The following is a 23,293-nucleotide window of genomic DNA, read 5'->3' as shown; positions in this document are numbered from 1 at the left end:
ATAAATAGCTGGGACTTAATTAAACTAAAGAGCTTTTGCCCAGCAAAAGAAACAGTCAGCAGAGTAAAGAGACAACCCACAGAGTGGGAGAAAATCTTCACAATTGATACATCTGACAAAGGACTAATATACAGAATGTACAACGAATAAATTTTTAAAAGATACTATAACTGTAATGTAAAGGAGAAGTAAAAGAAAAGTAATTTATAGTATAATTATATGTGGTCAATTATAAATACTAAGATGTGAATTTATTAGAAATCAAAATGAAGTATATTAGATTTTTGAATCTGCATATAGAATTGCCCAAAACAAAATAGCTACAAAAAGCACACTTTGATAATTCAAATTCTGTGACCAGTCTCTTCAATAAATGATGTTAGAAAAATTAGATACTCTCATGCCAAATAATAAAATACACACTTATCTCTCACCAAATGCAAAAATCAACTCAAAATAAAGATTTAAATGTAAGACTTGTAACTATGAAATTGCTAGAAAAAAACATAGTGTTGAAGTTCCATGATCTTGGTCTGGGCAAGAAGTTTTTGGAAAAGAACTCAAAAGGACAGGCAAAAAAAGCAAAAACAGACAAACAGGTTTACATCAAACTAAGAAGCTTCTGCACAACAAAGGAAGCAATCAAGAGAGTAAAGAGAAAACTTGCAGAATAGGAAAAGATAGTTACAAACTATACATCAGGTTGGGGTGTATTAGTCGGTTTTCACACTGCTATAAAGAACTGCCTCAGACTGGGTAATTTATAAAGAAAGGGGTTTAGTTGACTCACAGTTCTGCATGGCTGGGAGGCATCAGGAAGCTTACAGTCATGGCAGAAGGCAAAGGGAAAGCAAGGCTCGTCGTACATGGTTGTAGGAGAAAGAGAGAGAGACAGAGCACAGGGGAAACTGCCACTTTTAAACCATTGGATCTCCTAAGAACTCCCTTATTACTATGAGAACAGCATAGGGGAAACAGCTCCCCAGATCCAATCACCTTCCACCAGGTCCCTCCTTAGATGCACGGGGATTATAATTCAAGATGAGATTTGGGTGGGGACACAGCCAAACAATATAATTCTGCCCCAGCCCCTCCCAAATATCATGTCCTTTTCACATTTCAAAACAAATCATGCCTTCCCAACAATTCCCTAAAGTCTTAAATCATTCCAGCATTAACCCAAAAGTCAAAGTCCAAGTTTCATCTGAGACAAAGCAAGTCTCTTCTGCCTATAAGCCTGTAAAATAAATAACAAGTTAGTTACTTTCAAGATACGATGGGGATACAGGAATTGGGTAAATGTTCCTATTCTAAATGGGAGAAATTGGCCAAAACAAAGTGGACAAAGGCCCCATACAAATCAGAAACTCAGCCAGGCAGTCATTAAATCCTAAAGCTCCAAAATCTCCTTTGAGTTCATGTCTCACATCCAGGGCAAACTAATGCAAGGAGTAGGTTCCCACAGTCTTGGACAGCTCCATCCCTGTTACTCTGCAGATTACAGCACCTGTGGCTGTTTTCATGGGTTGACGTTGAGTGCCTGTGGATTTTCCAGATGCATGGTGCAAGCTGTTGGTGGATCTACCATTCTGGGTTCTGGAGAATGGTGACTCTCTTCTTGCAGCTCCACTGGGCAGTCCCCCAGTGGAGCCTCTGTGTGGTGGCTCCAACACCACATTTTCCTTCCATGCTGCCCAAGCAGAGGTTCTCCATGAGGTATTCACCCCTTCAGCAGACTTCTGCCTGGACATCCAGGCGTTTCCATACACCCTCTGAAATCTAGGTAGAGGTTCCCAAACCTCCTCTCTTGCCTTCTGTGTATCCATAGGCCCAACATTATGTGAAAGCTGCCAAGGCTTGGGGATTGCAACATCTGAATCAATAGCCTGAGCTGTACCTTGGACCCTTTTAGCCATGGCTAGAGCTGGAGCAGCTGGGATGCAGAGTGCCATAACCCAGAGCTGCATAGAGCAGTGGGTCCCTGGGGCTGGCCCATGAGACCATTTTTTCCTCCTAGGGCTCTGGGCCTGTGATGGGAGGGGCTGCCATGAAGGTCTCTGACAAGCCCTGGAGACGTCTTTCTCATTTAACTGCCCAAGCTGCTATGAAGGTCTCTGACAAGCCCTAGAGACATTTTCCCCGTTGTTGTGGCTATTAACATTTGGCTCCTCCTTACTTATGCAAATTTCTGCAGCCAACTTGAAGTCCTCCCCAGAAAATGGATTTTTCTTTTCTACCACATGGTCAGGCTGAAAATTTTCCAAGGCTTTGTGCTCTGCTTCCCTTTTAAACATAAGTTCCAATTTCAAATCATCTCCTTTGTGAATGCATGTGAGTGAACACTTTCAGGAAAAGCCAGTTCACATTGTGAATGCTTTGCGGCTTAGAATTTTTTTTCACCAGATACTCTAGATAATCTCTCTCAATTTCAGAGTTCCACAGATCTCTAGGGTAGGGGTAAAATGCCACCTGTCTCTTTGCTAAGGTATAGCAAGAGTGACTTTTGCTCCGGTTCCCAATAAGTTCCTTATTTCCATCTGAGACCATCTCAGCCTGGACTTCATTGTTTATATCACTATCAGCATTTTGGTAAAAATCATTCAACAAGGCTCTAGGAAGTTTCAAACTTTCCCACATCTTTCTTTCTTCTTCTGAGCCCTCCAAACTGTTCCAGCATCTGCCCATTACTCAGTTTCAAAGTCGCTTCCACATTTTCAGGTGTTTTTACAGCAGTATCCCTCTCCTGGTACCAATTCTCTGTATTAGTCCATTTTCACACTGCTATAAAGAACTGCCTAAGACAGGGTAATTTATAAACAAAAAGTTTAATTGACATACCGTTCCACATGGGTTGGAGGCCTCAGGAAACTTACAATCATGGTGGAAGGTGAAGGAGAAACAAGGTGCATCTTATATTGTGGCAGGAGGGAGAGAGAGTGCAGGGGAAACCACCACTTTTAAACCATCAGATCTTGTGAGAAGTCCCTCACTATCACTAGAACAGCAGGGGAGAAACCTCTCCCATGATTTAATCACATCCCACAAGGTCCCTTTCTCAACACGTGGGAATTACAATTTGAGATGAGATTTGGGTGGGGACAGAGAGCCACACCATATCAAGGGGTCAATATTTATAGTACATAAGGAACTCAACAGCAAGAAAACACATAACCTAATTAAAAAATGATCAAAAGACCTAGACAGATATTACTCTGCAATAGAATAGCAATGGGTATATGAAAAGTGCTCAGCATCACTAATCATTAAGAAAATACAAATTAAAACCAGATTGAGATATCACCTCACTCCAGCTATAATGGCTATTGTGAAAAAGAAAAAAATACAGCAAGTGTTAGTGAGAATATGGAGACAAGGGAACCCTACATATTTCTGTGGGGATTTAAATTAATACAGCCATTATGAAAAACAGTATGAAAAAATTAAAAACAGAACTAACGTATGATCAAACAATCCCACTACTGGGTATCTATTTAAAGAAAATAAAATCAAGTACTGACTCCATCCTGCCACCCTGTGAAGAAAGTGCCTACTTCTTCTTTGCCTTCCATCATGATTTACCAAGAAAACCAAAAAGTACTTAGTTCATCAAGGTGTCAGCCTATCTGTTCTTCATTTTGGGTGGCACACATCAAGAGAACTATGCTAAGTATTCAAGAGTAAAGCATGATTTTTACATTCTTAGGCATTCATCTTGAGCTAAAGAATTTGAGAACTGAAATCTGAGAAGAGAGTAATTACAGGTAACAACAATCCATCTGAGTGACTAAAAAGTGACTGAAGACCTCTGTCACAAACTTTTTTAAGGAAACACTATTATATGATAGTTTAGCAATCTTTAAAAAGACATTAGCTAAGTCAAGAGTGTCAGGCCTCTGAGCCCAAGCCAAGCCATCGCATCCCCTGTGACTTGCATGTATACGCCCAGATGGCCTGAAGTAACTGAAGAATCACAAAAGAAGTGAATACGCCCTGCCCCACCTTGACTGATGACATTCCACCACAAAAGAAGTGTAAATGGCCCATCCTTGCCTTAACTGATGACATTGCCTTGTGAAAGTCCTTTTCCTGGCTCATCCTGGCTCAGAAAACACCCCCACTGAGCACCTTGCAACCCCTACTCCTGCCCGCCAGAGAACAAACCCCCTTTGACTGTAATTTTCCTTTACCTACCCAAATCCTATAAAATGGCCCCACCCTTATCTCCCTTTGCTGACTCTCTTTTCGGACTCAGCCCGCCTGCACCCAGGTGAAATAAACAGCCATGTTGCTCACACAAAGCCTGTTTGGTGGTCTCTTCACATGGATGCGCATGAAATTTGGTGCTGTGACCCGGATCGGGGGACCTCCCTTGGGAGATCAATCCCCTGTCCTCCTGTTCTTTGCTCCATGAGAAAGATCCACCTATGACCTCAGGTCCTCAGACCAACCAGCCCAAGGAACATCTCACCAATTTTAAATCAGGTAAGCGGCCTCTTCTTACTCTCTTCTCCAACCTCTCTCACTGTCCCTCCACCACTTTCTCCTTTCCACTCTTCAATCTCTCCCTTCTCTTAATTTCAATTCCTTTCATTTTCTAGGAGAGACAAAGGAGACACGTTTTATCTGTGGACCCAAAACTCCAGCGCCGGTCACGGACTGGGAAGGCAGCCTTCCCTTGGTGTTTAATCATTGCAGGGACGCCTCTCTGATTATACGCCCACGTTTAAAGGGTGTCAGACCACACAGGGACGCCTGCCTTGGTCCTTCACCCTTAGCGGCAAGTCCCGCTTTTCTGGGGAAGGGGTAAATACCTCAACCCCTTCTCTCCTTGTTTCTACCCCTTCTCTGCTTTTCTGGGAGAGGGGCAAGTACCCCTCAACCCCTTCTCCTTCACCCTTATCAGCAAGTCCCGCTTTTCTGGGAGAGGGGCAAGGACCCCTCAACCCCTTCTCCTTCACCCTTAGCGGCAAGTCCCACTTTTCTGGGGCAGGGGCAAGTACCCCTCAACCCCTTCTAATTCACCCTTAGTGGCAAGTCCCACTTTTCTACGGGGCAAGAACCCCCAATCCCTTATTTCTGCACCCCAACCTCTTATCTCTGCACCCCAATCCCTTATTTCTGCACCCCGACATCTTATCTCTGTGCCCCAATCCCTTATTTCTGCACCCCGACCTCTTATCTCTATGTCTCAATCCCTTATTTCCATGCCCCAACCTCTATCTCTGCGCCCCAATCCCTTATTTCCTCACCCCAACCTCTTATCTCTGTGCCCCAACCCCTTTTCCCACTTTTCTGGAAGGTAAGAACCCCCGAACCCCTTCCCTCCATTTCTCTACTCTCTCTTTTCTCTAGGCTGGCTTCCTTCACTATGGGCAACATTCCACCCTCCATTCCTCCTTCTACTCCCTTGGCCTGTGTTCTCAAAAACTTAAAACCTCTTCAACTCACACCTGACCTAAAACCTAAATGCCTTATTTTCTTCTGCAATGCCGCTTGACCCCAGTACAAACTCGACAGTAGTTCCAAATAGCCAGAAAACGGCACTTTGAATTTTTCCGCCCTGCAAAATCTAAATAATTCTTGTCGTAAAATAGGCAAACAGTCTGAGGTTCCTGACGTCCAGGCATTATTTTACACATCAGTCCCTTCCTAGTCTCTGTGCCCAGTGCAACTCGTCCCAAATCTTCCTTCTTTCCCTCCTGCCTGTCCCCTCAGTACCAACCCCAAGCGTCGCTGAGTCTTTCTAATCTTCCTTTTCTACAGACCCATCTGACCTCTCCCTTCCTCCCCAGGCTGCTCCTGGCCAGGCTGAGCTAGGTCCCAATTCTTCCTCAGCCTCTGCTCCTCCACCCTGTAATCTTTTTATCACCTCCCCTCCTCACACCTGGTCGGGCTTACAGTTTCGTTCCCTGACTAGCCCTCCCCCACCTGCCCAGCAATTTACTCTTAAAAAGGTGGCTGGAGCCAAAGGCATAATCAAGGTTAACGCTCCTTTTCCTTATCCCAAATCAGAAGTGTTTAGGCTCTTTTTCATCAAATATAAAAACCCAGCCCAGTTCATGGCTCATTTGGCAGCAACCCTGAGACGCTTTACGGCCCTAGACCCTAAAAGGTCAAAAGTCCATCTTATTCTCAATATACATTTTATTACCCAATCTGCTCCCGACATTAAATAAAACTCCAAAAATTGGAATCTGGCCCTCAAACCCCACAACCGGACTTACCTCACCTTCAAGGTGTACAATAACAGAAAAAAGTTGCAATTCCTTGCCTCCACTGTGAGACAAACCCCAGCCACATCTCCAGCACACAAGAACTTCCAAACGCCTGAACTGCAGCAGCCAGGCGTTCCTCCAGAACCTCCTCCCACAGGAGCTTGCTACACGTGCCGGAAATCTGGCCACTGGGCCAAGGAATGCCCACAGCCCGGGATTCCTCCTAAGCCACGTCCCATCTGTGTGGGACCCCACTGAAAATTGAACTGTTCAACTCACCTGGCAGCCACTCCCAGAGCCCCTGGAACTCTGGCCCAAGGCTCTCTGACTCCTTCCCAGATCTTCTCGGCTTAGCGGCTGAAGACTGACACTGCCCGATAGCCTCAGAAGCCCCCTAGACCATCACAGACGCTGAGCTTCAGGTAACTCTCACAGTGGAAGGTAAGCCCATCCCCTTCTTAATCAATACGGAGGCTACCCACTCCGCATTACCTTCTTTTCAAGGGCCTGTTTCCCTTGCCTCCATAACTGTTGTGGGTATTGACGGCCAGGCTTCTAAACCTCTTAAAACTCCCCAACTCTGGTGCCAACTTAGACAATACTCTTTTAAGCAATCCTTTTTAGTTACCCCCACCTGTCCAGTTCCCTTATTAGGCTGAGACACTTTAACTAAATTATCTGCTTCCCTGACTATTCCTGGACTACAGCTATATCTCATTGCCGCCCTTCTTCCCAATCCAAAGCCTCCTTTGCGTCCTCCTCTTGTATCCCCCCACCTTAACCCACAAGTATAAGATACCTCTACTCCCTCCTTGGTGACTGATCATGCACCCCTTACCATCTCATTAAAGCCTAATCACCCTTACCCCACTCAATGCCAATATCCCATCCCGCAGCAGGCTTTAAAAAGATTAAAGCCTGTTATCACTCGCCTGCTACAGCATGGCCTTTTAAAACCTATAAACTTTCCTTACAATTCCCCCATTTTACCTGTCCTAAAACCAGACAAGCCTTACAAGTTAGTTCAGGATCTGCGCCTTATCAACCAAATTGTTTTGCCTATCCACCCGGTGGTGCCCAACCTGTACACTCTTTTGTCCTCAATACCTTCCTCCACAACTCACTATTCCGTGCTTGATCTTAAAGATGTTTTTTTCACTATTCCCCTGCACCCCTCGTCCCAGCCTCTCTCTGCTTTCACTTAGAATGACCCTGACACCCATCAGGCTCAGCAAATTACCTGGGCTGTACTGCCGCAAGGCTTCATAGACAGCCCCCATTACTTCAGTCAAGCCCAAATTTTATCCTCATCTGTTACCTATCTCGGCATAATTCTCATAAAAACACACGTGCTTTCCCTGCTGATCATGTCCGATTAATCTCCCAAACCTCAATCCCTTACAAAACAATAACTCCTTTCCTTCCTAGGCATAGTTAGTGCGGTCAGAATTCTTACACAAGAGCCAGGACCGCACCCTGTAGCCTTTCTGTGCAAACAACTTGACCTTACTGTTTTAGCCTAGCCCTCATGTCTGTGTGCAGCAGCTGCCACTGCATTAATACTTTAGAGGCCCTCAAAATCACAAACTATGCTCAACTCACTCTCTACAGTTCTCATAACTTCCAAAATCTATTTTCTTCCTCATACCTGACGCATATACTTTCTGCTTCCCGGCTCCTTCAGCTATACTCACTCTTTGTTGAGTCTCCCACAATTACCATTGTTCCTGGCCCAGACTTCAATCCGGCCTCCCACATTATTCCTGATACCACACCTGACCCCCATGACTGTATCTCTCTGATCCACCTGACATTCACCCCATTTCCCCAAATTTCCTTCTTTCCTGTTCCTCACCCTGATCACACTTGATTTATTGATGGCGGTTCCACCAGGCCCAATCGCCACACACCAGCAAAGGCAGGTTATGCTATAGTACAAGCCACTAGCCCACCTCTTAGAACCTCTCATTTCCTTTCCATCGTGGAAATCTATCCTCAAGGAAATAACTTCTCAGTGTTCCATCTGCTATGCTACTACTCCTCATGGATTATTCAGGCCCCCTCCCTTCCCTACACATCAAGCTCGAGGATTTGCCCCCACCCAGGACTGGCAAATTAGCTTTACTCAACATGCCCCAGTCAGGAAAGTAAAATACCTCTTAGTCTAAAGAGACACTTTCACTGAATAAGTGAAGGCCTTTCCTACAGGGTCTGAGAAGGCCACCGCAGTCATTTCTTCCCTTCTTCAGACATAATTCCTCAGTTTAGCCTTCCCACCTCTATACAGTCTGATAACAGACCAGCCTTTATTAGTCAAATCAGCCAAGCAGTTTTTCAGGCTTAGTATTCAGTGAAACCTTTATATCCCTTTTGGTCCTCCATCTTCAAGAAAAGTAGAACGGACTAAAGGTCTTTTAAAAACACACCTCACCAAGCTCAGCCACCAACTTAAAAAGGACTGGACAATACTTCTACCACTTTCCCTTCTCAGAATTCAGGCCTGTCCTCAGAATGCTACAGGGTACAGCCCATTTGAGCTCCTGTATAGACGCTCCTTTTTATTAGGCCCCAGTCTCATTCCAGACACCAGACCAACTTAGACTGTGCCCCCGCAAAAAAAAACTTGTCATCCCTACTATTTTCTGTCTAGTCATACTCCCATTCACTGTTCTCAACTACTCACAGATGCCCTGCTCTTGTTTACACTGCCGGTTTACACTGTTTTTCCAAGCCATCACAGCTGATATCTCCTGGTACTATCCCCAAACTGCCACTCTTAACTCTTGAAGTAAATAAATAATCTTTGCTGGCAGGACTATGCTGAATCTCCTTAGGCACTCTCTAATCAGATATCCTGAGTTGTCCCAATTCTTTGACCTTTTATACCTGTTTTTCTCCTTCTCTTATTCCATTTAGTTTTGCAATTAATACAAAACCGTATCCAGGCCATCACCAATCATTCTATACGACAAATGTTTCTTCTAACATCCCCACAATATCACCCCTTACCACAAGACCTCCCTTCAGCTTAATCTCTCCCACTCTAGGTTCCCACGCCACCCCTAATCCCGCTTGAAGCAGCCCTGAGAAACATCACCCATTCTCTCTAGATACCACCTCCCAAAAATTTTCGCCGCCCCAACACTTCAACACTATTTTATTTTTCTTATTAATATAAGAAGGCAGGAATGTCAGGCCTCTGAGCCCAAGCCAAGCCATCGCATCCCCTGTGACTTGCACGTATATGCCCAGATGGCCTGAAGTAACTGAAGAATCACAAAAGAAGTGAATATGCCCTGCCCCACCTTGACTGATGACATTCCACCACAAAAGAAGTGTAAATGGCCCATCCTTGCCTTAACTGATGACATTACCTTGTGAAAGTCCTTTTCCTGGCTCATCCTGGCTCAAAAAGCACCCCCACTGTGCACCTTGCGACCCCCACTCCTGCCCGCCAGAGAACAAACCCCCTTTGACTGTAATTTTCATTTACCTACCCAAATCCTATAAAATGGCCCCACCCGTATCTCCCTTCGTTGACTCTCTTTTCGGACTCAGCCCGCCTGCACCCAGGTGAAATAAACAGCCATGTTGCTCACACAAAGCCTGTTTGGTGTTCTCTTCACACGGACGTGCATGAAAAAGAGGGTATTTCCTTATAGCTGCAATGAAATCTGTAAAGAAAACATAGAAAAGAAAATCAGTATCTTCATGTGATATCTGCACTCCCATGTTTACTGCAGTGTTATTCACAATAGCCAACGTACAGAAACATACAGAAACAACCTGTGGCTATCAATAAAGAGATAAAGAAAATTATATATATATCACATGGATAAACCTGGCAAACATTATGTTAGGTGAAATAAGCCAGTCACAGAAAGTCACATAGTCTTGCCTGGATGTGGAATCCAAAAAAGTTGATCTCATAGAAGTGAGGGCAGAATGTTGGTTACCAGAAGTTAGGGTGGTTAGTGGAGAGAGAGGGTTAGGAAAATGTTTTGTCAAAGCCTATATAATTACAGTTGGAAGGGAGGAATAAATTCAAGATATCTATTAAATAGCAAGAAGACTACAGTTAATGATGATATATCGTATCTTGAAAAATGCAAAGAGAGTGGATGGTAAGTGCTCTCATCACACACAAAAAAAAAAACTATGTGAGGTAATGCATTTGTTAGTTAGCTAGATTTAGCCATTTCACAATGCATACATACTTCAAAATACCATGTTGCTCACAATACATACATATAATGTTTAAAAAATTAAAAATTAAAAAAATTGTGATCAACATGAACAATAATAACATGATTTTCTGTGATAAGGAATAAGCCTTGATAATATTCCAAAATTAACAACCTTTTCTAAATGAAAAAAGTTTGTGGCATTCCTGGAAGATGTATTTCTATTTAATTTGTGTGAAAATGTTTGTGTTCATGTATGTCTTAGTCTATTTGTGTTGCTATAAAGAAATACCTGAAGCTGGATAATTTCTAAAGAAAAAGGGTTTGTTTGTCCTATGATTTTGCTGGCTGGAAGATTGGGTGACAACTTTAGGCTGCCTCTATTCATGGCAGAAGGTGATGGGGAGCCAGCGTGTGCAGAGATCACATGGTAAGAGAGGAAGCAAGGCAGAGAGAGGGTGGAGGGAGGTACCAGGCTCTTTTTAATAACCAGCTCTCAAGGGAACTAATAGAGTGAGAGCTCACTCATTATAGCAAGGAAGGCACATGCCTTTCATGAGGGATCTGCCCCTATGACCGAAACACCTCCCATTAGGCCCCACCTCCAATGTTGTGGATCAAATTTCAACATGAGATTTGGAGGAAACAAGCATCCAGACTATAGCAATATACAAAATAGACTGGGTGGCCAAGCTTACATAATTATAAAGTTTTTCATGTACATAAAAGCAAGAGATGAGGCAATTTTTTCTTATGTGGGACTTGAACAAGGTATCCTTTATATTGCGTTCATAAAGCTTGACTAAACTTTTGACAGAGTCTCCCTGAATCTGGGCCTCTGATCTGCCTTTTCTTAGAGTATTTATGTTACAACACTTGTCATTGTAAATTCTTGCCCTGGCTCTTTGAGATGTAAATCTGCAAGCCTTCAGGCAGTCTTATAATCCAGAAATGTCTTTCTGAGGATCTGGTAGCCATCCCTTTGAAATGCGATCAAGAAAGATAGTGCCTCTATTTCCCAGTCTCTGTGAAAGGTGGGAGCCTAACTTAGATGAGCTGGTTAGCAAATACAGCTGGCCTAATAACAGTGAGGAACTACACTCATTGTCTTCCTGTGCTTTTTCACTAGCTTATCCCAGAACTTAAAAAAATGCTTCCACCTTTTCTTTCAGAGGAGCTGAGTCTAGACTCTCTCTCTCATTGCAAAAGTCTTGAGTAAAGTCTCTTTTGCATGTTTAAACTGCCTGGTACAATTTCTCTTTGAAAGATCTCTTGGCATATTGAAATAGATTCACATCCCAGGCCACTGCTCACTAAATGTTAGCAACATCTCCCAGTTTATAGCACAACCAAAAATCTCCCACACCATTTTTCAGAATTCTTTCTGCACATGGTATGACTCCCTGGAGGTTCACTAATTTAAAGTTGAAGTGTCTATCTCTTAAAGACCTGAGTTTATAACCTGTCCCCATACCTCTTATGGGTATGTAACCCCGAGAAAGTTGCTTAAACTCTCGAAGATTTAGTTTTTGCTGCTTATATATATGTAATAATGATAACCACTGTTTATATGGCTAATCCAAACATGCCTTGTACTAGAGACAATTTATAAGTAAATTACACAGTATTATCACAGCACACTTGTTTTCAAGTTATCTCAGTTCAACTACATTTGAGAGAGAGAAAAGGAGGCTGAGAACATTCCAGAGGGACTGGCTGGAAGAAGATAGTTATAGGTTTCTTGGACCTCCTGGAGAAAGCTATTGAAGAACTAATTAAGAGCCAAAGAAAACATTGCCTAACAAAATTAGCTGTAGCTGGGAGACAAATGCAAAACAACAAATAAAGAAGATGGAAGCCTGGTAATTTTGTTGAAGAATTCTATGCAATAAAAGGCTTGAATAAATTAATGTCTAAATAGGATCCTTCTAGGGAATATTATAGAAAATACGCTAGTAAGTGCATTATGCATTTATGCATACTTAGATATATTAAGAATTGTATAGAAAATACGAGTGTGTTTTTTTGATGAGTAAGAGATTTAAAAGAGTAAAATTACTTAAAAATTACTTAGGAAACATTTGCAAGTTTTGTTGCATGCACTGACTTTGAACTCTAATCCCTCTGGGCAATGCATGCCTTCACTGTATAAGAAGCAGAGGAGTCTATATTACAGATTGTATAACAGCCATAAGTTATTGTTGGCACTTACATATATTCTGCAATATGCTAAGCTTTCTACATGCATTTGAACTCCACAACTCTCTGAACTAAGTATTATTTTATCATTCTGATTTTCCATTTGAGGAAACATGGCTATAGCATGCATAAGTAACCTGTCCAAGATCACATGGCTAGAAGTGGTGTAGTTTACACCTGTACCCAAAATGTTGAGTTTCTGAGTTGGTGTTCATAATTACTACACTCTACTTCATCTAAACCCATGAACATACACTTGCTAATTTCTCTGCCCTTCAAAAAAATGTAAATAGATATTTACTGATGATCTTACATAGGATGTACAGAGCATAAAGAATACACATTAACAGATTTGCCCTCCAAAAATATACTCTGTAGAAAAGAGAAAGAAGCCAATGGAAGGTCAGTGTTACGGGAAATACAATAGAGATAAAATCTTATATAGCATGTTAGAAACCACAGAAAAGAAAAACGGTTGCTACTTACGAAAGTCCCAGATGTGGCCTTCGAGCATGTGATATGTCACAATAGGTAACAGGGTACAGATGGAAGCAAAGTGTGCAAACTGCTAGGGTTTTTGAGACAGAAAACAAAAACATGTCATATAACCACTCATGAACTTTATTTTCTTTTAATCCATAAAATGGGTATAAAATAAAGGCTGACTTTGGATCCAGGGCTGCAGTTCAGGCAGCAGGTGATGGCTCATTATGCTGACTGCTTGTGACAACAATTCAATTTGAAATTTTGGGCATTCATTCTGATTGGTTCATGTAAATGCTAGACAAGTTACTAACTATTCTGAGGATCACTTCTGCTTACATTATAGGATTTTTAGGTGAATATACCTCAGATAGTTTATGTTAAAGTGCTTTATAAAACATGTCAATGATAATGGTAATGTTTGCTCAGGAAGAATTTTGTCAATTTACAATTTAAAACAGCTTGCAGGTATACTTCATGATATCAAAACCTTGACTTTAATTCCCCAGGGCCTATCTGCTATAAATGATGAGATTCTATACTTTGTGAACTCACCTACCTACATAACTAAAGACAGGGACTATGATTTGTAGCAGGGACTGGGAAAGAATTTGCATGAATCGGATTCCTGTTCTTGGCAATTTTAACTAAGAATATTAGAATGAATTTGTCAGTTGGTAGAGAAACAGAAAAGGAAAATAGAATGACAACCAAAATACAAAACAAAACCCAGAACACAACCCAGCCTTCTGTTAATTATCTGAGTCGTACTTAAGGGGAGGACACTAGAGTGAAAGTCGCCACATATTGCTAAGGTCCCCAGGGCTTCCTTGAGTCTAGAAACCTTTCACAACTTGGTCTTGAGTAAGCCCAACCTTGTGAACATTTAGTTCTTAAATGAGTGTGGATTGCTTCTTAATATCTCTAACAACATACTATTTTAATTTGATCTATTTTTGATGACTGTTTTATCCTTACAGCGAAATTATCCAAATTAAGATAAATGACTTATCTAATATTGTATTCTAATATCTAGCAAAATGCCTTGCATAAAATAGGCAATCAAATACTTAAAAAGAAAATATCTATACTAAAACCTTTGTTTTGTGAGTTTTAAATTGTCAATACGTTCTTTCATATATATGTATATTGAAGAAAAATAAATTTTATGAAATAGAGAGGAATCTTAAAATCCATTAAGGTAAAGATTTTGTCTTTTCAAAATGTCTCCAAGTCATATAATTTTTCCCTACATATGAATTGACCTAAAAACTACTTTTTTTTTTTTACTCTTTTAAAATACATACCATAAATTGCCCTTAGACAACATTAGTATTCCTGTTTGAGTTGATAAAAACCTTTGTAGTTCACTGCCATCTTCATTATGCATGAAATGTGACTATATGGAATATACCGTGACTCTAGGAGCAATAATGTATTACCTTGAGGCTTACATAGATCAAAATCTGATGGCTAGATTGAGAGATAGGATAAAATGGAGGTTGAACAAAATTATTTTTAGTTGCGGTTTCTTGACTTGACAGAATAAAGTTTTATGACTATTTGGTCTATTTTATAGTGAGTACCATGAATCAGTCAAGAAGGTTGATGACCAACTTACAACACTACTGGCTCTAATAATGTGTATTCATCTCTTCATTTTCCATGATAATATTTTGTCATTTTAAAATTCCATTTTTATTAGAGTCCACCTAAGCATATTTTTTTATCACCACAATACTTCCCACAATGTCTTGTTCGAAACTTATCTCTGATATATATAGTTCATTAAATGATTCATATTTCAGTCCTGGTAATAGCCCAGGGAATGTAAATCTTGAATGAAATAATTTACAGAGAAAATTATAAAACTCATTATGCACGAAGAATGAGAACTATGTTTACATAGATTTACTTTTTATTCCTAACTGAGGGTGGCTTTCTACCAATGTTAATTATCCCTTTTGGTTTTTAATTGAATTCCTAAGTTTTAGATTGGCACAAGACTACTCGGCAAATTACTGCATTCCCCAGCTTCATTTGAAGCTCTCTGTGAGTGGAGATAATGTGAGTGGAGATAATACTTTTATGTAGCTCTTTTAAGAGGGGATTTTGCCCTTTCCTCCCCAACTGAGATATAGGAATGATTGCAAGAGCTCAAGCAACTTCTGTAATCCAGAAGCTAGAAACTGCATACTGAGGATGACAGGGCTGTCCTATGAGCCATATCTGGCTGAAACATACCATCAAAGAGAGATATATGACATTTCAAAGCTTCTATAGTTTTTGGTCTTTTTGTTGTAGCAGCTCAGACTGTACTCTAACAGTACAGTAACATTTTAAAATTCAATTTCCATTTTATGCCTCCATTATTTCCTCATGTTCATTCCTTTTAAAGAGGCTATTCCCATTTGTTCAGCTGAGAAAGCCTTAATTCTTATTCTTTTTTGATGTGATACTTGTCTTGCTTCATCCACTGTGGGCTCTCTTCTATGTTTCGTAAGCACTATGGTCATCCAACTTTCTGTCGTTATTTATGGGCATTTAAAAATCAGCTATAGCCCTTTTAATTTGCACCTTGATGGAAGTAAGGAAATGTAATTCATTTCTATATTTCCATCCTCAGCCCTTAGCACATTGCTTGGCACATGCTATGATTCAAGAACTGTGTTTTGGATGCATGAACACAGAGAAACCTCCAAAAAGGGAATCTAAACCAGAGAAAAGCAGCCTGGGGACCTTGGGTTGGGGAGAGAGGAGCTACCTCACTGCTGGGCTTCCCTAAGGACTGAAGAATAAGGGAGAACACCAGAAACTGAATGCTTGATTGTTATGCATCTGTGCCTCAGGGTGGGTTTTTTTTTCCCTTAATTTTAATTTTAATTTTTTAGTGCCAGCTGGCAGAGGCCACTCTTCCCCTACCAGCTGCCTGCCTGAGGTGCTGGCCAGCTGCCGGCAGCTGTGCTATGGAAAGAGAGCCCACCAGTACCCAAGACAGACCACTGAATATCCCTTCTGTAAGCTTCCTTGATAACTCCCCTTTCTTAACATCTAACCCTGCGAGTTGTTATCCTTTGAACAGACAACTTTCTTCAAGGATTGAAGTGGATGTAGCTCTCTAAAAAAAGGCTTAGTGGATATCAACTTTATTTTCATGACCTTGTTTATATATTCTAGTCACACTACATATTTTTGTTTGTGACTGTCATGTGTGGAAAGGTGTTCCAGGACCTAAATATCATAACAAAAATAGGCATCTCAGTTGAGTGACTGCTTCTTTTCTCATTGCTTTTCCTGGTAAGTGAGATTGTTCAAGAAATTCTTCTCCCTCTTTTTTGGCTTCGGGTTTGTATTCTTGTTCCTATCAGTAGTGACCATAAGTTGTCACCTAATGGAATTAGTTCAGTGACCCTTACAAACTAAATTAACACTCTATCTCCAGTTTCTACTGGATATGTGTCTAAATCACAGTTGGGCACCTTGTTAGCTGCCTCAGTTAAGAGTTCAGTGAAAGAATAAGCCATCCTCCCCTTTCATCCCTAGGGGCTGTCTCTTAGTGTACTAGAGGCTCATTAGCAGCCTTGTAACACTGAGATTGCCCACAGTATACTTATTCTAACAGGTTTTCTTACTTTGAGACATGGTAAATGTCTATTGCAAATCCTGTTGACATTTAATTTTCAAATTATCTTCTGTATTTGTTTGCAATTTACTCATAATATATGCATAATTCCAATCTGTTGAAATATTGATTCTGATTTACGATTTAGTAAATTAAGGAATGGTTGGGTTGCATATTAAACTTTGGAAGTGACTCACAATATATTACATTTATATTACCCTTTAGAGTTGCACAAAGTCCTTCCATAAATACTGTCTATGAGCATAATGGGGAAAAGAATCATGTTTAATTTATCTTTAAATCCTTAGGGATATAACCCAATGCTAGCACATGAAAGACACATAATACAGGGTTTTTAGTGAACAACCAATCAAAGAGGATGATAGATGTGATAGTCTTAAAATCTACCCACAAATTAGTTGATACTTCTTGTATTTGTTTTCTATTGATGCTGTGATAAATGACCACCAAGTAAATGGCTTAAAGCAACACAAATTTAATATCTCACATTTCCTGAATTTAGAAGTCCAAAATGGATCAAAAATCAAATAAGGGCTCCAGCCTTCCAGAGGCTTGAGTTGAGAATCTGTTTCCTTGCCTTTTCCAGCTTCTAGAGGCTGCCTTGCCTGGGCTTGGCCTCACTCTGACCTCAGCTTTTGTCATCTCATCTCCTTCTCTGACTCTGACTCTCCTGCTCTCTCTTATTAGAACCTTTTGTGATTACATTAAGCCTGCCTGGATTATCCAGGATAATCTCTCCATCTCAAGATCCTTAACTTAATCATATCTGCAAAGTTTCCTTTGCCATGTAAAGCATAGCATAGATCTCTGAGATTAGAAAGTGGCATCTTTTGTGGGGGGTGGGAGGCATTATTTAGCCTACCACACTCAAGATGTTAGTCTAACTCCCCTCCTCTTGAATATGGACTGACCTTAGTGAATTGTCTAAGGAATAGAGTACAATTTAGTGACACTACAGGACTTTTCAGGTTAGGTTATTTGAGTCAATACAGTTTCTACCTGGCTCTTTTTGTCTTGGGTTTTGAAACCCTAAGCTACAATATAAGAAGTCTGGTTTCATTGAAGTTACTATGTGTTAGAGAGGCCAGCTGGAGATCACATATACACATGGTGAGATCACACAGAGAGATGATCAAGAGACAAGAGGTGTTCTAGCCCCCAGATGTTTGAGTCTTCTCATTCTAGACACTAGATATGTGACTGATTGAGTGAGGAAGACAATCACTCACATGCCTAGTGTCTAGGATAAGAAGATTCATCCTTAAGATGACTCCAGTCCCAGCCACCAACTGACTACAACCATAGAAAAGACTCGAGAAAGACTGCTGCCCGAGGCTTGGCAGAAAAAAATGTGTGAATGAAATCAATTAAAGGTATTGTTTTAAGCTACTGTTTTAGGGTAATTTACTATGGAGCAAGAGATAATCAGAAAAAATATAAAATATTTTTCCAACTTTAAAGATAAGAAAACAGAAGTTTAAAGATGTCAGCATATAGAAACATTCATGAAGCAAACCCAAATTAGAGAAGAATTAGAGTAACATCGAAAGTACTGAACAGGATCCTGGCCAGATCTCTGAAGTCCAGGTTCTAACGTTTGCTTGTGTGACTTTAAGTATGAGTCTTAATATCTCTGTGTCTCAATCTCCTTATCTGCCTTATCTGTAGAATGATAATAATAATAGTACCTACTTCATAGGTATATTCTGACTATTAAATGGTATAATGTAGATAAACATAAAAGAGTACCTGAAATTATTAATGCCACCAAATTATAAGCTATTTTTTAGTGTTTCATTATCAATTTAGTGCCTTTCTCAGGCTTACCAGTTTCCTTCCAAATAGCACTAAACTCAACTCATGAATGTTCAAGAATATTTTATGAAGATGTCCCAGTTGTCTGGGTTCTACCTCTATTGTCCCATTCAGAAATTTGAAGGGGGGTGGGAAACTTCCCAAATGAATGGCATCTCTGTCTGGAAGCAACTCTAATTCGAATATTTATTGGGCATAATTTGGAGATTCAAAAGCTTATTACTAATGTCCTACACTTTTTCTAAACCAATAGAGAGACTATTTCTTATGGAAAACCCTCTTGTCAGCGAACCAATTCTCAATTACCATTGAACTTTCTCCCACCATCTGCATATCTTCAAATATCTGTTAACTCCTTCCATTTGTCTTCTTACCTTCTACAGTTAAGTTATTTATCTATGATCAAGAAAAAGCATGTAACCAGGTTGCTGGCAGTAAAGGATCTATGGAATCCTATTTCCCCACTGCCCTAAACATTTATCAGCAAACCTCTTACATATCCCCAGTTGGTTTTACCTCCTATCACACTTAGCTCTTATTTCAATAATTGTAGTTTCTTAAAATCCCCAACTGCTCCAGCACTTTTCTTTTCGTCTAATAAATGGTACCAACATCTAAGTCACAGAAAAATATAAAATCCATGTACTCTTACATGGTCTTTTTTTTCCTCACTGAGAAACTCTCGTGTGTCACGTCAGGCAGTCATTGTTGGCAGACACATTCAATATTTAATCCCAGCCAATATCTTCTCAGGCAGTCGTGACAAACTCATGTCTCTCTAGGGATTTTAACTACATTTAAGAGAAGTTTAATTTTCTCCTTGTGGTTTAACCCATCGTTAGAACTCCTCCAAAAAGGGCCGCAGTTACAGAAAGAAAAAAATAGGCATCAGTCCAAGATTTCTTCATTTTTGTTTTTCTTTTGCTTTTCTTCTGAGTTTGCAATCTCATTACCTCTGCACCCATCAACACACACTCTTCACAGTCACAGCTCCACTTTGTTTGGAGCTCAAGACTCTGACCTGTTTCAAAGCAATAACCTATTTGTGCACAGAATGAAAATCATATTAGTGAGGTTGGGTGTTTTTCTTCTTAGGTACTTCTTTCTGTGTTCCAGAGTCTGATAAATCATTTCTTCTGACACTAAACTCTTTAGTGAGAATTTTTTAAATAACCAGTTGACCCTGGATTTTCTCGTGTACTCTCTAACTTGAACCACACATTCTACTATCAAGACAAATCCAAGTTGGTAGCCAACACATCTTCCTGAGAATTTGAGCTAGTTAAGTTAAGAACAAATGAATGTTTTCTTGATTCTTGGTATTAGTAAGAATGGAAACCTGAAGTTGATAAAGTTTTTGATTGAGAAAAGTAGTGTAATGAGGTTTTGCTTTTACCCTATTTCTCCTAAGTGAAGAACGACAAGGCATTGACAGTGAAATTAGTCTCTTCATTTATTGATTTGGCTCTTAAAAAGAAAGAGATTTTAGAGATGTCAAATAGTAAAATCAAAAAGGGATGTGTAAAGAAGTTTTTAGAGAAGCAGAATGGATGCAGATATTCAATGACTGCTTGAGACCTAACGAGAAATATTGGCTGGTTGTGGTGCCATATGCTCATCATCTCAGCCCTTTGAGAGACTGAGCTGGGAGAATTGCTTGAGGCCAGGAGTTCAATCCCAGCAATATAGCAAGACTTGATGGTACATACCTGTAGTTCCAGCTGCTTGGCTGGATGAGGTGGAAGGATCATTTGAGCACAGGAGGTCTATGCTGCAGTGAGCTCTGATGATGCCATTGCACTCGTCTGAGTGATAGAACAATATCTGGCCTAAAAAGAAGAGAGAAGAGAAGAGAAGAGAAGAGAAGAGAAGAGAAGAGAAAAAAGAAAAGAAAAGAAAAGAAAAGAAAAGAAAAGAAAAGAAAAGAAAAGAAAAGAAAAAGAAATCCAGCCATGAAGAGGGTCCCTGTGGTGTAGGTAGCTAAGAAAATTTTTAACAGTCATACTGAATATTTAAGTGATTTCTTTTTTATGTTGTTTTGTGATTGTTGTTATTTATCAAACATAGCAGTGAAAAGTTCGTATTAAAGCAGAGTATCCCAAATTTGGTAATCTGAAATCTGGAATGCTCCAAAATCTGAAACATTTTGAGGACCAACCTGATGCTTAAAGAAAATCGTCTTTCAAATTTGGGATGTATGGCCCAGCAGGGTGGCTCATGCCTGTAATTCCAGCATTTTGGGAGGTCGAGGCAGGTGAATCCCTTGAGGTTAGGAGTTTGAGACCAGCCTGGCCAACATGGCGAAATTCCATTTTTACTAAAAGTAGAAAAAATTAGCTAGGCATGGTGATGCATGCCTGTAATCCCAGCTACTCGGGAGGCTGAGGCAGGAGACTCACTTGAACCCAGGAGGCAGAGGTTGTACTGAGCTGAGACTGTGCCACTGAACTCCAGCCTGGGCAAGACAGCAAGACTCCATCTAAAAAACAAAAAACAAAAAAGAGCTACTTAACCAGTAATAGTAATGCAAATATTCCAAAATCTGAGAAAATCTTAAATCTAAAACACTTCTGGTCCCAAGTTTTTGCATAAGAGATAGTCAACTTGTACCACAAACCTTGTTGGTGGAGCTTTGGGAAACGGGAAGAAAGGTCAAAGCATTCAGAAGTGGCCAAGTGACAGAGGAAGGGCAGCCACTATAGAAAGTAAAACAAGTGCAAATCAATAATGTATTTGAAACAAAAATTTGGTAGAAAAACATGAGAGTAACTTCTTTAGAAGCCTAACAACATTTATGAAATTCTTTGACTTTTATAATTACATGGAATGGGCCTCTAGCAACTTTCTTTGGATATTAAAGGGAATGTTAACCAAGAAGTGTAGAATAATTTGCTTGTTATTACAAATTTTTATTTCAGTTTAGATGTAGCTCCAAAGCTTAACAGCCATCTAAAATAAAAAAAGTTCTCAATCTGAGTTCAATGTGTTCTCTCATAATTACTCATTTTCTCCAGTATTTCTTGTTAATCAATAGCACCTGCACACACCTGGAAGTCATCTTTCATTTTCCTTTTTCACTTCCTACATTAGGGCATCAGGCTGTATAGGTTCTAATTTTTTAAAATTTTTATGGATTTAGGGAGTATAGTGCATTTTTGTTCCATAGATATAGTAGTGAAGTCTTGGCTTTTAGCATAACTATCACCCTAACAGTGTGCATTGCACCCAATAGGTAATTTCACATACCACACCCACCTCCCACACTCCCACCTTTTGAAGACTCCAATGTTTATTTTTCCACGAACTATATCCATATGTACAGTGTATATTGCATATATATATATATATATATATATCTTTGTGTGAGTATGTGTGTATGTACGTGTGTGTATAACATTCTCTTTATTCAATTATCCACTGATGGACATTTAAGTCGATTCTATAATTTTGCTATTGTAAATAGTGATGCTATAAATACATGAATACAGTTGTCTTTTTGATATGATACTTTATTTTCCTTTGTGTATAAACTCAATAGTAGGATTGCTGGATCAAATGGTAGCTCTATTTTTAATTATTTGAGAAATATCCATACTATTTTCAATAGAGGGTGTACTAATTTACATTCCCAACAACTGTGTATAGGCATTCCCTTTTCTTTGCATCCTCACCAACATCCGTTGTTTTTTGACTTTTTAATAATAGCCATTCTGACTGCTGTAAGAGGATATCGCACTGTGATTTTAATTTGCATTTCTCTGATGATTAGTGATGTTGAGCCTGTTTTCATGTTTGTTGGCTGCTTGTATGTCTTCTTTTGAGAAAAAAATGTTCATATCCTCTGCCCACTGTTTAATGGGGTAATTTTTTTTCTTGTTGAGGTGTTTGAGTTCCTTCTAGATTCTAGATATTAGCCCTGTGATGGATGTATAGTTTGCAAGTATTTTCTCCCTTTATGCAGATTTTCTGTTTACTCTGATGATTACATTTTTGCTGTGCAGAAGGTTTTTAGTTTAATTAAGTCTCATTTGTCTATTTTTGTTTTTGTTGCGTTTGAGAACTTAGTCATAAATTTTTTGCCTAGACCAATGTCCAGAAGAGTTTTTCCTAGGTATTCTTCTAATCTGTTTTATAATGTCAGGTTTTATGTTTAAGTCTTTAATACATCTTGAGTTAATTTTTGTATATGGTAACAGGTTTCATTCTTCTACATATGGCTATCCAATTTCCCCAGGACCATTTATTAATTGGATCTCTGTTCCTCAGTGTATATTTTTGTCAACTTTGTCAAAGATCAGTTGGTGGTAGGTGTGTAGCTTTATTTCTGGAATCTCTATTCTGTTCCATTGATCTGTGTCTGTTTTGATATGAGTACCACACTGTTTTGGTTGCTGTAGTCTCATAGTATAACTTGAAGTCTGGTATATGATACCTCCAGCTTTGTTCTTTTGGTTAAGATTTTGCTTTGGCTGTTTGGGCTGTTTTTGTTTCCTATGAATTTTAGGATTTTTTTTTCCGAATTTTGTGAATATAATGTCAATACTCAGATAGGAATTACATTGAATCTGTAGATTGCTTTGGGCAGTATGGTCATTTTAACAATATTGATTCTTCTAATCCATGAGCATGGGATGTTTTTTCATTTGTGTATGTCATCTACAATTTCTTTCAGCAGTATTTTGTAGTTCTTGTAGAGATCTGTTACCTTCTTGTTTAATTGCATTCCTAGTTTTTAATTTTTTCATAGCTATGGT

The 23,293-nt window shown here is 39.8% G+C and overlaps 1 non-coding gene across 1 annotated transcript, besides 5 other annotated features; it reads right to left on the bottom strand.

Moving 5' to 3' along the window:
- Nucleotides 3,548-4,477: an enhancer, noted in NCBI's record as "OCT4-NANOG-H3K27ac hESC enhancer chr13:66805879-66806808 (GRCh37/hg19 assembly coordinates)". NCBI's record gives its function as "activates a minimal SCP1, AML or CMV promoter by ChIP-STARR-seq in naive and primed H9 embryonic stem cells {active_cell/tissue: H9 hESC(naive and primed)}" and the evidence as "EXISTENCE:reporter gene assay evidence [ECO:0000049][PMID:30033119]".
- Nucleotides 4,478-5,407: an enhancer, noted in NCBI's record as "H3K27ac hESC enhancer chr13:66804949-66805878 (GRCh37/hg19 assembly coordinates)". NCBI's record gives its function as "activates a minimal SCP1, AML or CMV promoter by ChIP-STARR-seq in primed H9 embryonic stem cells {active_cell/tissue: H9 hESC(primed)}" and the evidence as "EXISTENCE:reporter gene assay evidence [ECO:0000049][PMID:30033119]".
- Nucleotides 9,211-9,927: an enhancer, noted in NCBI's record as "OCT4-NANOG-H3K27ac hESC enhancer chr13:66800429-66801145 (GRCh37/hg19 assembly coordinates)". NCBI's record gives its function as "activates a minimal SCP1, AML or CMV promoter by ChIP-STARR-seq in naive and primed H9 embryonic stem cells {active_cell/tissue: H9 hESC(naive and primed)}" and the evidence as "EXISTENCE:reporter gene assay evidence [ECO:0000049][PMID:30033119]".
- Nucleotides 10,723-11,247: an enhancer, noted in NCBI's record as "OCT4-NANOG hESC enhancer chr13:66799109-66799633 (GRCh37/hg19 assembly coordinates)". NCBI's record gives its function as "activates a minimal SCP1, AML or CMV promoter by ChIP-STARR-seq in naive H9 embryonic stem cells {active_cell/tissue: H9 hESC(naive)}" and the evidence as "EXISTENCE:reporter gene assay evidence [ECO:0000049][PMID:30033119]".
- Nucleotides 11,248-11,772: an enhancer, noted in NCBI's record as "OCT4-NANOG hESC enhancer chr13:66798584-66799108 (GRCh37/hg19 assembly coordinates)". NCBI's record gives its function as "activates a minimal SCP1, AML or CMV promoter by ChIP-STARR-seq in naive H9 embryonic stem cells {active_cell/tissue: H9 hESC(naive)}" and the evidence as "EXISTENCE:reporter gene assay evidence [ECO:0000049][PMID:30033119]".
- Nucleotides 17,900-17,974, bottom strand: MIR4704 (microRNA 4704). The gene has a single exon (NR_039853.1). It is a non-coding gene; the product is annotated as a microRNA 4704 (primary transcript).
- Nucleotides 17,975-23,293: the final 5,319 nt, after the last annotated feature.

This window comes from Homo sapiens, chromosome 13 (assembly GCF_000001405.40).
Source record: "Homo sapiens chromosome 13, GRCh38.p14 Primary Assembly".
Classification (NCBI taxonomy): domain Eukaryota; kingdom Metazoa; phylum Chordata; class Mammalia; order Primates; family Hominidae; genus Homo; species Homo sapiens.
This window is presented reverse-complemented; position numbering and strand designations above follow the sequence as displayed.